Consider the following 16,934-nt stretch of genomic DNA (forward strand, 5'->3'; position numbering starts at 1 on the left):
AGGAATGCCTCCTACTCAATTTTAAGTGGTTTGATTTGATGTGCTCTACAATAATAACTCTGTTATCCTCAACACTTCAGTGGAAAAATGCTGCATAAAACTGCTTTATATTGGGATGCTTCAGGGAAACCGTAAAAGGGGGGACTATGTTCTATCTGTGGGTGAGAGCAGGTTGGAGAGGTGAAATGAGCTGCAGGAAGAGAGGGTCAAGATGCTAAAAAGAGATGAGCAGCAGTGAATAGGAAATAAGTCTTCAGGAATTCTCAGCAATCTTAGTAAGGGCAATACGCTAGCAAAGTTTGCAAGGCAGAAGCTCAAGGCTGTTTCATTTAAGGATGAAAGAGCATTATTACTCCTCAAAGCAGGAACACTTGAGTACCCGAAGGTGTCTGGCACCTGGCTTCCACATTTCCTAACATACACAGTGTGAAGGATTGCATTTGAGTTAGTGAGCAATAGTTCTTAGCAGGTGCTGTGCAGTGAACAATCAGGGTTTAAATCCTCACTTCACTACTTTCCTCTGAAACATGAAGTCAGTTACTAAACTCTTCTAAAGTCCATTCTCCATTTGTGTCTCCAGATGGTAACAGTGCCTCTCAGGATTGTAGGCAATTAAAAAAAAAGGTGGGGGGGGCTTATTTCTAAAGATCTCTAATATGATAGCTTGCACACAGTTAAACTTACAAAATAATCTTCATTCTTTCCTTCAGTTCTTGATTTAGTCTGTTGACTTCAAATAATTTACAGTATTCCCTTCTTTATCCACGGGGGATACATTCCAATTGGATACTTGAAACCGTGGATAGTATTGAACCCTATATATACTATGTTTTTTTCTATACATACATAGCTATGATAAAATTTAATTTATAAATTAGGCACAGTAAGAGCTTAACAGCAACTAATAATAAAATGGAACAATTAAAACAACATGTCAGCATCACTATTCTTGTACTTTGGAGCCATGATTTAGTACAATAAGCGTTACTTGGACACAAGCTCTGCAATATTACAACAGTATCTCTCATCTCCAAGATGACTACTAAGTGACTAACGACCAGGTAGCTAGTCAGAATGGATAGGCTGGACAAAGGAGGGATTCATGTCCCAGGCAGAATAGAGTAGGATGATATGAGATTTCATCATGCTACTCAGATGGCACCCAATTTAAAAACCTATGAATTGCTTATTTCTGGAATTTTCCATTTAATATTTTCAGACTACTGTTGAACTGAAACCATTGAAAGTGAAACTGCAGATAAGAGGAGACTACTGTATTTTAGGAATGCAACTTGTAAATGTCATTATTTGCCAGGGGAATTCTTCAGATTGCAATAATCAGATTGCAAACAGGTCATATAAAGACGTTTGTATTTTAAAAGATAAGTGATGATGATATTCATTTAGGAAGCATGTAAGAGATAAAGAGTCACTTAGCAGAGATGCCGTGGGGCTGGGATTGGTTAGAAGAACGGAACACAAAACCAATTTTGAGTTGAGCTCGGCGGTACAATACTAAAACATAAACCTAGTTATATATCCTTATGGCATCTGAAATCACTCACATCATTCTTACTGGGTCCTGTCCCTAGATTCTTGCTTCCATTTTCTGTGATGTATTCTGGAATGATGCCTCTGGAATTAACATGTTTTTAAAAATGTTTGCAACAAAATTATTGTTTTTAAACAAAAGTGTTCCTCAATGTTGTATAAATTGTGACATGCCCTTCCTTATAAGCTTTTGAATCCTTTCACATAAAAAGTAATTATGTGTATAAAAGACTGCAATATCTATGAATGTTATGAAGTAGAAATTTTAGTCATTTATAGGAACATAGAAAATGAAGGCTATTTTCTTGATGATTAAGTTTAGATCTTCTCGAAAGTAATTTATGAAAATACATTTTGAGAATTTTATATGATGTAAGCGACCCAAATCTGTGATGTGAATTATCTAAAACATAAACAAACCATTAAAAAAGAAACAGATTATTTATTAGGCACATGCTTTTCAGTAGAGTTGAAATAAATATTTATCTCCATAAAAGCAGAAAACATTTTCCCAGGAATGGATTGTATTCTGTTTTATCAGTTCAGCAAATGCCTGATAGCCTTTCTTAACTTCTCTGTGTTGAGTATCAAACAAATACAATAGGTCAACCACTCACTGTTCAGTGTGTGGAAACCCTACTGATTGAGGCTTCTCAGAAGCAAGGGGTAAAGGAAGAACAGGAAGTGGCAATGACCCTGAAGAACACTCATCTCTGACCTCTGTGTATAGCAATGAGAGAGAAAAGCGTGCTCTTTAGTAACTCAATCTTTATTTTCCTATTTCTCAGGAGCCCATGTACTGTAAACCTTTATTTGACCTGTCCCCACAAGGTTAGCATGGGTCACAGTCTCCACATTTGCAAAATGGTGAGCTTAGATACAGAATAAGTAAATACTCATCCCAGGAGCAAAATTTGTGATGGCATTGAAAGCTGGCTCCATGCCTCAAAAATGTCAAGTCACAACTCAGGTTTAACAGTTTCTATTACACATATTCAATTTAATCAGCTATTTGTCTTAGAGAGCATAAAGCAATTTAAAATTGATCATGTGTTAGAGCTGACTACAAAGAATAAAAATGCCTTGTCAAAAAGAGAAAAAAGTGCTATTAAGTATCAATTTCCTTTTTGCACTGCCAAAACATCGAAGAATCTTCCAGTTATAAAATCTGAACATGCTTCCTCTTCAGAGTTGACACTTTACCAAATCCTATTCATTCTGTCTTTAAAATACCTTGACTGTTTTTTTCTTCTCAGTTTCTATTTTTTGAGCTCTCATTCACTCCAATGACTTTAATTACGACTGATATGTAGATGACTTTCTAATCTGTACCTCTGGCTGGAATTTTTTTGAGCCAACAGACACCAACTCCACGTATCCAAGATTCAATTCATCTACTTCTCCTCACAATTTGCATTCTTTGTTTCAGTAAATGACACCGCATCCAATTGTTTAAGGCAGGAACCTGGGAATCATCCTGATTTCTTCCTCTTCTTTACCCTCAATTTCCAAAGAATCAATAGATCTTGTCACTTCCACTTGTGTTAATACCTCGAATTGATTTGCTTCTCTGTAACCCCATTGTTGCTGATAATGTCCAGGGTACCCTTAAAAAGTCAAGCACTACAGGTTGCCTACTCAATATCTATTCTTGCTTCCATAGCCTTGATTTACCTAATTAAAAATGTTTAATCTCTTAGTTTCCCTTGCTGCTAGCATAGGACATAGTTCTGGACAACGAGATGAAAGTGGATTTTACCCCAAAAGTTTTCTGGGAAAAACTCCTTAAAAATTGATTAACTTAACTGTCTTGTTTCATCAGCTCTTGATCCACAACCTTTCCCTTCATGCCTAGAATGTAGATGCAATGTCTGAATTGTAGCAGCCCTTTTGTGAGTACAAGGAGAAAAGCTCCATGCAAAAAATAGTAAAGCCAGAAGGGAGAAGTCATGGTTGCTGGCAGTAACACGGTGCTACTATGTCATGATTATCTGTGTCCATATTCCTTATTATCTGAACAAACAAACAAAACAAAACACCTCATTTCATAAAGTCAGTAAGCCACTGTTACTGGGTTTCTATTACATGAAGCCAATGAAGTTGTACCTCTGTCACATTTCTCATATCCTCCATTTTATTTCTAATATTGGCATTCTTTTTAAAAAAAAATCTTCACGGGCCACGATTGCCCTTATGATAGTTCCAAACTCCTCAGCAGCATGTATAATGCCCTTCAGGATCTAGTCCTTAACTCTAGGTTAAGCCTTATTTATCCCATCAAGTTCCAACCTCTATGCTCAATCAATTATACTTTCAGTTCCTCAAACACATCATTCTCTCAACTAAGACTTAAATGTGCTATTCTGTCTATATGGAATATTCTTCTTTTATTCCTCTCCCACTTTACTTGGATAACTGACAAGTTTTCTAAAATCCTGCTGATATGGTTTGGCTCTGTGTTGCCACCCAAATCTCATCTCAAATTGTAATCCCCACGTGTTGAGGGAGGGAGGTGACTGGATCATGAGGGCGGTTTCCTCCATGCTGTTCTCATCATAGTGAGTGAGTTTTCACAAGATCTGATGGTTTTATAAGTGTTTGACAGTTCTTCCTTCACTTGCTCTTCTTTCTCATGCCTCCTTGTGAAGAAAGTACTTGCTTCTCCTTCACCTTCCACCATGATTGTAAGTTTCCTGAGGTCTCCCAAGCCATGTGGAACTGTAAGTTAATTAAACCTCTTTCCTTTATAAATTACCCAGTCTTAGGTATTTATTTATAGCAGTGTGAAAACAGACTAATACACTTGCTTAGGAAACACATCCTGAAAGAAACATTTCCTGATCCAACCTAGATCAGGTGCCTCTCCTCAGGGTCCCTATAACAATTACATGCCAGTATTTATCTCCATCAGAATATTTTCCACACTAATGACAACTACTATTGTACTTCTCTGTCCCCTCAACTAGATGAAGATAAATTTCTTAAGGAAAAATTGTGTCTTATTCACTGTTATAATTCCCTGTTTTATCACAATAGCTGATAAATAGTACTATATAGTTGTTGAATGAGTAGATGAATAAATGCACTTTCATTACACATATCTATCATTCAAGCTCAAATTCCCATCATTATATGCCTATACAATTATTCATTCTAATTCATCCAATATTATTCCAGACATTGTGGTATATAATTAATCACAGAACAACAATAATGAAAATTAAGAACTTGCCTCCAGCTCCATTAGGACCAGAAAAGGATATTGATTTCTTAATAAGTAAAAAAGGTGTAGGGTACTTGAGCTCTTTAATGCAATTAATTTTTGTAATTAACTTTATAATTAGGTATATTTAAATGAAAAATTTAGTTGTATCTATATTAATATTTTTCTTTTATCTGGTTGTTTTCTATGAATTACTTTGACTGCAAAAGCCTCAACTGCCAAGACATTATATCAGGGCATATAGAGCTAGAAACAATCTTAAGATTACTAACTTCCTGAATCTACAAGGACTTCTCTCCAAAATAGAGTCAAAATACAATTTGTCTACTTGACTATTTCCAGTCTTAAAAACACTACTCGAGAATTATAACTATTCCAAGACTTTTGGAATGCAGTTTTCATGATAGGTTTGAGGGTTTTTTTTACACTTTTATGGAGGTATAAATTATATGTCATAAAATTAATTGTAAGTGAAGAGTTGGATTTTTTAGTATGCTTATATAGTTGTGCAGTCATCACTTTACTGTAGATTTATAATACAGCCATCACTTCAACAGTCCCATTGTGTCCATTTTCAAAAAATCCCTGCTCCCACTCTCAGCCCCAGGCAACCACACATCTGCTTTCTATGTGTAGAGGGTTCTCCTTTTCTAGAAATTTCATATAAAAGGAGTCACATATTATGTATCCATTTGTGTCTGATTTTTCTTTTTTTATTTACCATAATTTGGAGATGCAGTGCCATCTATGTTGCATGTATCAGTAGTTTGTTACTTTTATCGTTGAATAGCATTCCATTGTATAGATACACAACATTCTGTTTACTCACTGCTTGTGGATGTTTGTATTTTTTCAATTTCTGGCAATTATGAATGATGCTGTTATGAACATTTATGAAGAAGTGTTTGTGTGGACACATGTCTTGATTTCTCCCAAGTAGATATCTAGGAATTTAATTGCTGGATTATGCTTTAAGTTTATATTTAACTTTTTAAGAAGCTGACCAACTGTTTTCAAAAGTGACTGTACATTTTACATCCATACCAAAAATGAATGAGGGCTTCAATTTACCGCATTTCAGCAAACAGTATTGTCACATTTATTATTATTATTATGGCCAGTCTTACCTATATATAGTGATATCTCATTGAAATCTAATGAATAAAAATTGTAAGCACCTTTTTGTGTATGCATTAGCTATTTGCCTTCTTTGCTGAATGTCCATTTAAAAATTTTGCCCATTTTTAATTTGATTGTATTATCATTTAGCCAAGCACAAATTCTTTATTGGATATATGATTTGTAAATGTTTTTTCCAGTCTGTGACTTTTCTGTTTACTTTCTTAATGGTATTTTTTGAAGCACAAATGCTTTAAATTTTGATGCAGTATAATTCATCAATCTTTTATGAATTGTTCTTTTGGTGTACTAAGAAACTTCTACATAACCCAAGGTTGCAGAGGTCTTCTCTTATGTTTTTTTCAAGAAGTTTTATAGTTTTATCTTTTATATGTAAGCCTTTGATACATTTCAGTAAATTTTTGTGTATACTGTGAGATAGGTTCCAATTTCATTTCTTTGCATGTTGTAGCTACCTAATTTTTCCAGCATCATTTGTTGAAAAGACCCCCGAACATTTAGTTGTCTTGGTACCTCTGTTAACAATCAATGAACCATTAATGTGAGAATGTATTTCTGGGCTTACTAGTTGATTACATTAATCAGTACTTTGTTTGCATATCTCCCTCCATATTGAGCCTATCTCTGTGAAAGCAAAGTTGGTGGATTTTCTTGCTGTCCCTGTGCTGATAAAACTGCAATTCTCACCAACTGCCATGAGGAGAGAGGTGGAGTTTTTTCCATACATGAAGGCCTCATACTTTTACTGTTGTTGCACAAAGCTGGGGTATCTTTTCAAGAACAAATGCTTAGTTAGTGGGTACAGTGTATGTTATTTGGGTGATGGATACCGTGAAAGTCCTAACATGACCACTACTCAATCCATTCATGTATCAAAATTGCAAATGTACCCCATAATTTTGAACAAATCAAAAGAAAAAAGCCCTGAAATGATTATTTTGATAACTTTATCTAGTTTCATAGATGTTTGTAGAAAGGGTGTTCTGACTTCTTCACATAGTCATGGCTGAAACTTCCTTTTCATGACTAATTTTTAAGGGGAAGAATATGCCGTTGAGCCTCATCTCAGCACACCTACCCACAGAAGTTGCTTGAAATTATTTTTGAAGTAATTTTTGGAACACCTGGGTCCATATGGAAGATTAAATCTACATGTTTATTCTCTGCTCCCTCCACAATGTCACCAAAATAGCAGTAATAAAATTTTTAAAAACCCACAATGACTGTAAGAAAATAAGAGGAGCAACCAAAAAGTGTTTTGGAAGCTAGCAAAAGTATTAGACAAATGGTCACTGTCTTAACAGAACAGAGAATTGTGAAAACTATCTATCATTGGAAACAACAGAAAGATGTAAGTTGATAATACACCAGAAATTCAGAAGATACCATATACTATGTGTTTTGAATGGAGGCAAAATGAGGCTGAAAAGGAATACTGGGAAAGTCTTTCAAATGAGCAATTACGGCTATTGATTTCCAAACCTATTATGTGTTGCTAGAGGACTATACCTGGTATATCTGAGTACAAGACTGAGATTTTAACCCGTGGACATCTAGGGATATCAGCCATAGCTGAGGTGATAGTGAGCTACAGAAGACTAAAAGAAAGTAAGAACAGTGAGTTTCTTAAATCCCTTTCTTAATCAGAATGCTACTGGTAATATACACATCCCCTTAAACAAGGGATTGGAGTATGCTAAATAAATCTTACAGTTTAAAAAGCAGAGATGCAGGTAATGAGAATGAGAGGCTCCCACAAATTAGGCAAGTCATTACCTCTTTGCCCTATAATACAGTAGATACTGTCATTAGTCAACTAACTCCACTTGCATATGCAGAGCTTCCAAATACCAAGTTAGTGCCTCCTAACTATGAATGGATCAGTGTAGGATATCCAGATGTTTTATTAAAGTCAATAACAAGAAATATATAAATTAAATCAAACAGAAGCACAAGGAATTTAGACTAAATAGTGACAATCCAAGGAACAAAAGAGATTCTTAAAAAACTATAATGGATAGATTTAGAGAGCTAATAAAAGTAAGACAAAAGCTATAAAGGAAGAAAAATTAGAAAGACTGAGATATAATAGGTGCTCAATAAACATTCGTTGAATGAAATGAATTTTTATAACTATAAAGGATGTGTGTATTTATAAATAATTTATAATGGTTCAATGTAAAACACACATTCAACAAAAGAGTTGAAAGACATGAGTGGAGAAATACACCAGAAATTAGAAGACTAATCCAAAAGATCCAATATCCCATTGAGAAATGGTCTTGAGAGACAGAGATGGGAACAGAGAGGTGGAGGTATGGAAATTATCAGGAGCCAACACAAGAAAATTTATAATACTGATGGACAATTATTTCCAGACTTAAAGGACCTACAGTTAGCCAATACAGTAAATGCTAAAAGGTCCACATTAAGGCCATATCATTGAAATTTCAGAATAGCTGGTATTGAAAAAAAAAAAAACTCTTAAAAGCTTCTAAAGAGAGAGAAAACATATTCTATAGAAAGTGTAGAAAATGTGAACAACATCAAATTTCTCAGCAGCAACACTAAAAGCTAAAAGAAAATAGAATATCTTTATACCTCAGGGTAAAAATTATTTTCATACTGGAATCCCATACCCAGCCAAAATATCACATAATTTGAAGGTACAATTACTATATTTTTAGACTTACAATGTCTCAAAAATTTATCTGAAGTCCACTCTCTTTCAGGAAACTACTAGAAGACATACTATATTAAAATGAAGGATGAAACCAAGAAAAAAAAAGACGCAGATATCAGAAAAGGAATTGTGTAATAATAATACCAATTCCTAGAAAATAGTCAAGTTAACTCTTAGGATAACAGCTTGCTGACAAGCCTTCCAATCTTAATGGAGCAATAAGTTTGAGGGTTCCCAAAGAAATTTCTAAGAAAAGTAAAGGAAACTAATAGAAGACTTTACATTTCTACAAAACTGACAAATCTCAAATAATTGGTAGTTATGATGGGTTTGGTACATAGAAAGCTATGCAAAAAAACCAACACCACAATTATTAAACCTAGAGAGAAACAAAATTAGTACATGAAACACAATGTAATCATAATGTACTATGTGTCCCTGCTGTGAATAATTGTTACAGGCCCATTATATTATAAACATTATTGTATTAAAATTATAATATTAAGTTACTAGGATTAAAAGAAGGAAAATATGTGTGGAAGATGTAGACCTAGGAATGAGAGAGACATCTCCATCTTCCATATTTAGAAGTCAATGAGTATCTAAACTGAAAAAAAATAAAAACCAGAGTATCAGTGTGTTACTCAAAAATACAAAGGAGATAAATTAAGAAGCACTAAAATAATTAAAATAGTATTCTTATAGGAACAAGACTCAAGAGTGGAGAACAAACAGTGGGAGGCTTCTGATTTTGTCTCATAAGCCTGTTAAAACCATTTGACTTTTTTTAAAAAAGTCAGCTTTCCCAGGTTGAATATTTGATTTTTTTTTTTTTCTTTTTAGACGGAGTCTCACTCTGTTGCTCAGGCTGCAGTGTAGTGGCATGATCTTGGCTCACTGCGACCTCCGCCCCCCGGGTTCAAGTGATTCTCCTGCCTCAACCTCCTGAGTAGCTGGTACTACAAGCATGTGTCACTATGCCTGGCTAATTTTTGTATTTTTAGTAGAGACGGGGTTTCACCATGTTGGCCAGGCTGGTCTTGAACTCTTAACCTCAAGCAATCCACCCACCTCGGCCTCCCAAAGTGCTGGGATTACAGATGAGAGCCACTGTGCCTAGCCTTGATTTTTTAAATGCGGTTTTAAAATATGAAATTTGAAATGTAAAAAAGAAATTATTATGTGTTTGCATGTTACTTTCTAAATGCATTATTTTAAAAGTCATTCTACTAATTTTCATTTTTTACAAACTGTATAAAGTTAAATTAACTCACAAGAGAGGACTTTAATCCACTAATTACTTATTTGAATGGACAAAGCTGAAACCAAGTCCAAAGTTGAGTTATATCAATTTGTCAAGAAATCCCTTCTGGAGATGAGGTTGTCATTGTACTGTTATGCTGTTTTAACTAGTAAAATACTTCTGCCTTAGGATATGCTTTTTTCGTATCCTGGAATTTATTTTCCTTCCAGGAAAATATCAGGAAGCTGGAGGCATGATCATTAAAATGCACAAGAACAGATGTTGCTGGGTCTCTGTCAGGCACTGAGCAAATGTTTTGATGTGTCATTTCTTCCAGTTACTGTGGATGAAGAGCACAAGAATGGTGTGTTAGTTTCTTAGGGCTGCCATAACAAGTTACCCCAAACTTGGTGCCTTAATACAACGGACCTTTATTATCTCATACTTCTCAAGGCCACAAGTACAAAATCAAGCTGTAGGTAGTAGAGAACTCTGCTCTGCAGGCTGTAGGGGAGAAGCACTCCTTGCCTTTGACAGTTTATGGTGGCTGCAAGCCCATTCTTTAGTTTCTTGTTGCGTAACTCTCATTTCTGCCTCAGTCTTCACCTGGCCTTCTCCTTTCATCTCTGTCTCCCTCCTTTGGGTGTCTCTTCTAAGGACACTTGTCACTGGATTTAGGGTCCACCCAGATAATCTAGGATGATCTCATCTTGAGACTCTTAGCTTAATTATGTTTGCAAAGACCCTTTTGTCACGTAAGGTCATGTTCACAAGTTCCTGGGTTAGATGTGGATATATATATATATTTTTTAAGGCCACAATTCAATTCACAAAAAAAAAAAAGAAAAGAGTAGAGGAATAACGAGGCAAATATCACTTGTTATTTACTTTAATGACATGTCATATTTGGACAAACACAAAGCTAAGCCTGGAATTCCAATATCTTGGGAAATGAAAGATAAAAGCAGTCAGAAAAAAGTAGAACTATGAAGACAGTTTTATAAACTAGCTACTAATTCTTTTCTTTTTAGATTTACCATTAATCTCTTCCACTATTATGCCATCTGTAAACTTGATTGGCTTGTTGTCTATTTTAAAACCACGTTTTAAGGCAAAAACAGTGTTGGCTTGTTGTTCTCAGTGACTTCATTTTCTGAATAAACAAGACTGAACCCTTTTAAATGTCAGTAGAAACCTTTCTGGGAAGCACTATTTTTTTGCACACTAAAGACAATATACTTAACATAATTTAACCACTTTATGTATTCAATCATCTTTCCCATTTTAAAATTAAATAATGTTTTATATAAAATATGTGAATTCTCTGTAGCAATTTAAATTTTGATGTAGTATAGTACACATTATATAGGAATGTATTTATATGCTTTATTGAGTAAAAAAAGGAGGGGGGCAGAATATGCCAAGAAAATTTTTTAAGGACTATTGTTTGTTTGAAATGGTTACCAGTTAATTTCTATATATAAATGCAATGATTCTATTCTTATTGTATGCCAGGAAATGTTTGAAAATAAACAAATAGTGAAGTAGACTTAGGGTAGTCTAAACAATTTAAAGAGTATCAATTTTCTTAGAATCATAGAATTTAGAAACAATGTTAAATATGAAGTCCAAACTCATTTTACATGCCTAGTGGCAATTGACATTATGTGATTTGCTCTATGTCACATATCTGGCTATGACACATGTAAAATGTTAGGTTTCTAACATCATTCAATTCTCAGTATTTTTCTATCACTGTTAACCTGACAAATGCATCCACTTTGGACATTTTAAGTGTTTGTGAAAAATTAATGCATCCTCAATGCTTGAGAATGTTCATCTTTATGGAAACCAAATAGTATTTTAAAAGCAGGATTTTGGGAAATAATTTGTATTTGATTTTTTTTTTTTGGTCACTTTTTCAATGGATGACCTTACTCAAACTGCTTAATTTCTTTGAGCCTCAGCTACTTTGTTTGCAAAATGAAAGGACTACTATCTAATCCACAGGACTATTTTGAGACTAAATGAGATAAACGCAAGTTGAGACTAGCTCTCAGCCTGTATATAATGACTATTCAATCAGTGCTAGTTTCCTTCCCTGTACTGCTTATGAAAAAATCAGTCAGTTATACTATAGGCCTGTTGTGATGTATTCAATTGTGTTCCTCCCACCTCAAAATTCATGTGTTGAAGTTCTGATCCCCAATACCTCAAAGCAAATTTCTGCTGTTTAAGCCAGGGGTCCCCAGTCCCCAGGCCACGAACTGGTATCGGTTTGTGGCCTGTTAGGAGCACGGCTGTACAGCAGGAGGTGTGCGGTGGGTGAGCCTGCGAAGTTTCATCTCTATTTACAGCTGCCCCCACATCAGTCACATTACTGCCTTAGTTCCCACCTCCTGTCAGATCAGCAGCGGCATTAGATTCTCATAGGAGCACAAACCCTATTGTGAATTGTGCATGTGGGGATTTAGGTTGCCTGATATTTAGGAGAATCTAATGCCTGATGATCTGCCACTGTCTCCCATCATCCCCAGATGGGAGCATCTAGTTGTAGTAAAACAAGCTCAGGTCTCCCACTGATTCTACATTATAGTGAGTTGTATAATTATTTCATTATATAATACAATGTAAATAATAAAAATAAAGTGTACAATAAATGTAATGTGCTTGAGGCCAGGCATGGTGGCTCACACCTGCGATCCCAGCACTTATGGAGGCCAAGGTGGATGGATCATTTGAGATCAAGAGTTGGAGACCAGCCTGGCCAACCTGGTGAAACCCCAACCATACTAAAAATACAAAAAATTAGCCAGGTGCAGTGGTGTACACCTGTAATCTCAGCTACTCAGGAGGCTGAGGCACGAGAATCGCTTGAACCTGGGAGGCAGAGGTTGCAGTGAGCCCAGATCATGCGACTGTACTCCAGCCTGGGCAACAGCGAGACTCCATCTCAAAAAAAAAAAAGAAAAAAGAAAAGAAAAAGAAAAAGTAATGTGCCTGCCTGAATCATCCTGAAAGTATTTCCCCATCTTCCCCATAGAAAAATTGTCTTCCACCAAACTGGTCCCTGGTGCCAAAAGGGTTGGCACTGGTTTTAGCCACCCGGCCGCTGGTGTAAGCCACTCAGTTTGTGGTGCTTTGTTATGGCAGCCCTAGGAAACTAATGCACCTGTATTTCTTGGATTGATGGTTACTTGTAACGACATCTCTTAGGGATATTTTTTCAGCAGTCAGTCTGTATCAGGATCTGTAAGGTCCTTCTTTTCCAATTTCAAGGAAAGCAGGTCCAAAATCCCTTTCACCTAACTCTTAGTTGAGATGCTGTTCAAGAATGGAGAAGGTAAGGGGCCTCTCCAATATATGTGATTCTGGTTCCAATCTTCCAATATCTTACTATGCCCATACTATTTGTACAGGTTATAGGTTTGTGGAATAGATAGAGATCCTGATCTCTGTATCTATATCTGTATCTGATCTACATACTCTACATCTAAATCTGTTGAGCTTTTTATGAAACATAATACCACAAGCTTTTCCCCCTTATTTTGTAAAAGACTTGCTGAAAACACCATTTTAATAAAATTGTCATGTCATACACTCTCATATATTTTACCGTAATTTGCCCACTGTTAACACGTTGTTAGGCAATTGAAGGCCTTTCGCCTTTCTGCCACATCCCTTCAAATGAAGCTTTGCCCACATTTCAGAATATTTCCTTGAGATAGTGTACCAGAAAGGCTAAAAGCTATAAACTAGGCCAAAGGTAATAAACATTTTAATATTCCTAATACTTATCACCAAGTTGCTTCACAGAAAAGCTGGTTGTTCTTTCCTTTTGAATTTAATCACAAGAGAATAATCTTGGTAGCAAGAGTAAGAAGGTCATGGAGGGCATTGGAAGCATTAGTGTTCAACAGGCACAAGCAGGTAATAAATATCACCTTATGAAAAGCTCAAAGCCATGCACGGTGTTTGCATAACATGTTGCTAACTGAAGACCTCTCTGGTTCACAACCTTTCTGAAACTCAGCGTTTAAATGCAATATAGCCTATTAAATTGTCAGCTCAAGTACTCAGCAGAAGGCATCTCTATCTTCTTTGTTCTTGGGGATGTTTCTACTGACATGCACACTGGAGTTCAGAGATAATTTTCAATAAACTGTTGTCACTTGAAAATAAACAGTCTGGACAATGTATGGTCCATTTGGAGCACTGAGAAAATAAACAACCTAGGGTATGCTTCCTTCCTGTCTCTGTAGCCCTTTTTGGAATGTGTGTTCCAAATACTTCCCCTTCTTCCCCAAAGCAGGAGGTTTTATTTAAAATAAAGCTGTTTATTTGGCATTTCTGGGAGACCCTTTTCTGAGGAACCACAGCAATGAATGGCTTTGCATCCTTGCTTCGAAGAAACCAATTTATCCTCCTGGTACTATTTCTTTTGCAAATTCAGAGTCTGGGTCTGGATATTGATAGCCGTCCTACCGCTGAAGTCTGTGCCACACACACAATTTCACCAGGACCCAAAGGTGAGGAAAGAAAACCACAATTTTCATGTATAATAAATATGATATCTTCCCTCATCTCTGAACCCCTTCCTAGATTTCAATGACTTTCTCTTCTCTCCTCCCTAGTTTCCTCCCATTTTCCTTCTATTTTGGAAAATCAGGATTTTCCAGATCTGGTCTGTTACTTATTTAAAGCTCTCCTTTGATGTTAGGTAAGAGGATGTTGGGAAGGGGAAACCCAGGACGGAGATCTGAGGGAACTTACCCAGGGCAGGGGGAAATTCCCTGTTCCATTCTGCTCCGGGGCAGATGCACAATCCAGGCATGAGTCTCCAGAAGCCCTTTCCTTCCTTAAAAGCACCTCTATTATTGCACTGTTTGTACTCTCCTCCTTTCTAATACTGATGCTGGTAAAGCTGTTTAAGCAAAAGGTCAGTAACATAAAACTTAAATCTTAAATATATATTTCATAAGTTAATGGGATCCTGAGTTCCAACGTAGAGGATGGAAACATTTTGTCAAGCATTGAAGGTAGTATATAAATGAACATTTCTTTATTTGGAAGTGTAGTCTCTGGGGCCAAATGCCTTCTGCTCAAGGATGGTAGAATATTGCAAAATGTTCTCAAGTACAGCCAAGGTCCAAATATGCTTTAAGCAACCAGTAGATTTTAAAAAATCTATTTTTCTGGTTTTAGCTTTCACCCTTTTGTTCTGAAAGTGGTCACTGCACTGCAGATTGGTGCTCCCTTATTAGTAATTCATGCTGTTTCTCCAGGCTATAGGGTAGAAGAATTGCAGCTGCCTAAAATTTTAAGTAGAAAAAAGTGTTTTTCCAAAAAACAAAATTCAGAAATACATTGCCCCATGCCTGTCAGTTATTTAAATGTGTATTGCTTAAAGTGCATTTTTCTTAATCACTGAATTAATTTTCCTCTAAGATTGCAATCCAAGTTTTAACCTTTGATACGATAAAATAAATGCTGTGAGGAACAATGAGAGCTTAGAGCTTCCAAATAATTTCTTGGGTGAATAAATGAATAATGCGAGGGCAAATGTTCAGAAAGAAAGTTTTGATTAGAAATAAAGTATTTGCTTAAAACCGTTACTGAAGTTTCCTTAGAGTATAGGAAACTTTAGATTATTCCTGGGGTGTCATGGGGGCATTGAAAATTAAAGTTTTCCTTGTCCCTGCAAATGGGAGAATCCATTTGAGAATAGCACTATTTTTTACCTAATAGAAAACTTCTCCCTTCCCATTTTCCCATTAGAAACCCTGTTAAAACTTCAAACAGTGGAAATCTCATTAACTTTCCTCCTGAGCATCTGCAGACATTATGAGATAATTACAAGCCAGAGTGTGACAAAATGAAGTGAGTGATCCTGGGGAGAGGGACTTGGGAAGCGGTGTTCTAGAACCGTGGGTTCTAGAACTAAGTCTGTTATGTTCTTGGGTGTGATTTCCTCTTCTTCATCCAGAGCCTGGAAACTGTATCACATGGACTCCAAATTTTATTTTTAATAAAATTTTATTCTTAATAAAATTCTTAATAAAATAAATTCTTAATAAAATTTAATAAATTTTGTTCTTAATAAAGAAATCCATGATCCTGGAATGTACTGAATACCTACTAAGATCCAGGCATCATGTTAGATGCTAGGGGTTGGAAGCTAAGATAAGTAACCTGTCCTAGCTCTCGCATCTACATACCAAGCTTTGTATTCTATTACAAACTCTTGAGGCCGGCACCAATTTATGCTTTTTCTTTGAAAATTTCCTACACACCTAAATGCACCTAAAGCAACATGAGTATATTCATCACTGCCTTTCCTGTGCTCTAGGCACCATGCTAGATGATATGGGTACACCAGAAACCAAGACATGATACCTTCTCTTAAGATATGAACAGTGGGCCAGGTGTGTTGCCTGCAATCCTAACACTTTGGGAGGCCAAGGCAGGTGGATCACTTGAGTCCAAGAGTTTGAGACCAGCCTGGGTGACATAAAGAGACCCCATCTCTACAAAAAATTAAAATAATTTTTTAAAAATTAGCCAGGTGTGGTGGTGCACACCTGTAGTCCCAGTTACTTGGACGTCTGAGGCAGGAGAATTGCTTAAGTCCAGACAGTTGAGCCTGCATGGGCCATGATCATGCCACTTCACTCCAGCCTGGACAACAGAGTGAGACCCCATCTCAAAAAAAAAAAAAAAAAAAAAAAAATATATATATATATATATATATATATATATATGTAAACTGCCATCTACTCTACCTTGTTCCTTCATGAATACTGTGACAACCCCTCCCCACTCCAAAATAAGGCAGATATGTATATTTACCTCTACAAAATTAAAAAGAATAGTATGATGGTTAAGTAAGTGTTTTAAAGGTCTGCGTTATTACTGTTTTTTCAATATTTTTCCCCTAAGATCAAGCTAGTCTTAATACTTTTCTTCATGGCTAATCATCTCATTACTGTATTTACTAGCACTGCAGCACAGTGCTCAGAAGTTTCTAGATACTCTGGGAAACAGTGAAATGAATTTTCCCTAAATTCATCTGGGAGAGTGAAAACTAAATGAAT

At 36.0% G+C, this 16,934-nt stretch overlaps 1 protein-coding gene and 1 long non-coding RNA gene across 4 annotated transcripts in view, besides 1 other annotated feature; one reads left to right on the plus strand and one right to left on the minus strand.

Moving 5' to 3' along the window:
• Window positions 1-16,934, plus strand: part of COLEC10 (collectin subfamily member 10) — a 156,193-nt gene that overhangs the window by 100,798 nt on the left and 38,461 nt on the right. The window contains exon 1 of one of the 3 annotated variants that reach the window (NM_006438.5): window positions 14,187-14,369. The exons of the other annotated variants lie outside the window; for them this stretch is intronic. Within the exon in view, the coding sequence (NP_006429.2) occupies window positions 14,222-14,369 (148 nt within the window). The 5' untranslated portion in view covers window positions 14,187-14,221. Of the gene's footprint in view, window positions 1-14,186; window positions 14,370-16,934 lie in introns of those variants that run through there. 3 annotated transcript variants of the gene reach the window in all.
• Window positions 9,882-15,722, minus strand: LOC101927513 (uncharacterized). The gene is made up of 2 exons (NR_134297.1): window positions 14,614-15,722; window positions 9,882-10,180 (listed from the first exon to the last, which is right to left on the minus strand). It is a non-coding gene; the product is annotated as an uncharacterized LOC101927513 (long non-coding RNA).
• Window positions 14,162-15,361: an enhancer, noted in NCBI's record as "BRD4-independent group 4 enhancer chr8:120079461-120080660 (GRCh37/hg19 assembly coordinates)". NCBI's record gives its function as "activates an origin of replication core promoter dependent on BRD2, P300/CBP, MED14 and CDK7 cofactors, and independent of BRD4, by STARR-seq in HCT116 cells {active_cell/tissue: HCT116}" and the evidence as "EXISTENCE:reporter gene assay evidence [ECO:0000049][PMID:35650434]".

This window comes from Homo sapiens, chromosome 8, assembly GCF_000001405.40.
Source record: "Homo sapiens chromosome 8, GRCh38.p14 Primary Assembly".
Taxonomy (NCBI): Eukaryota; Metazoa; Chordata; class Mammalia; order Primates; family Hominidae; genus Homo; species Homo sapiens.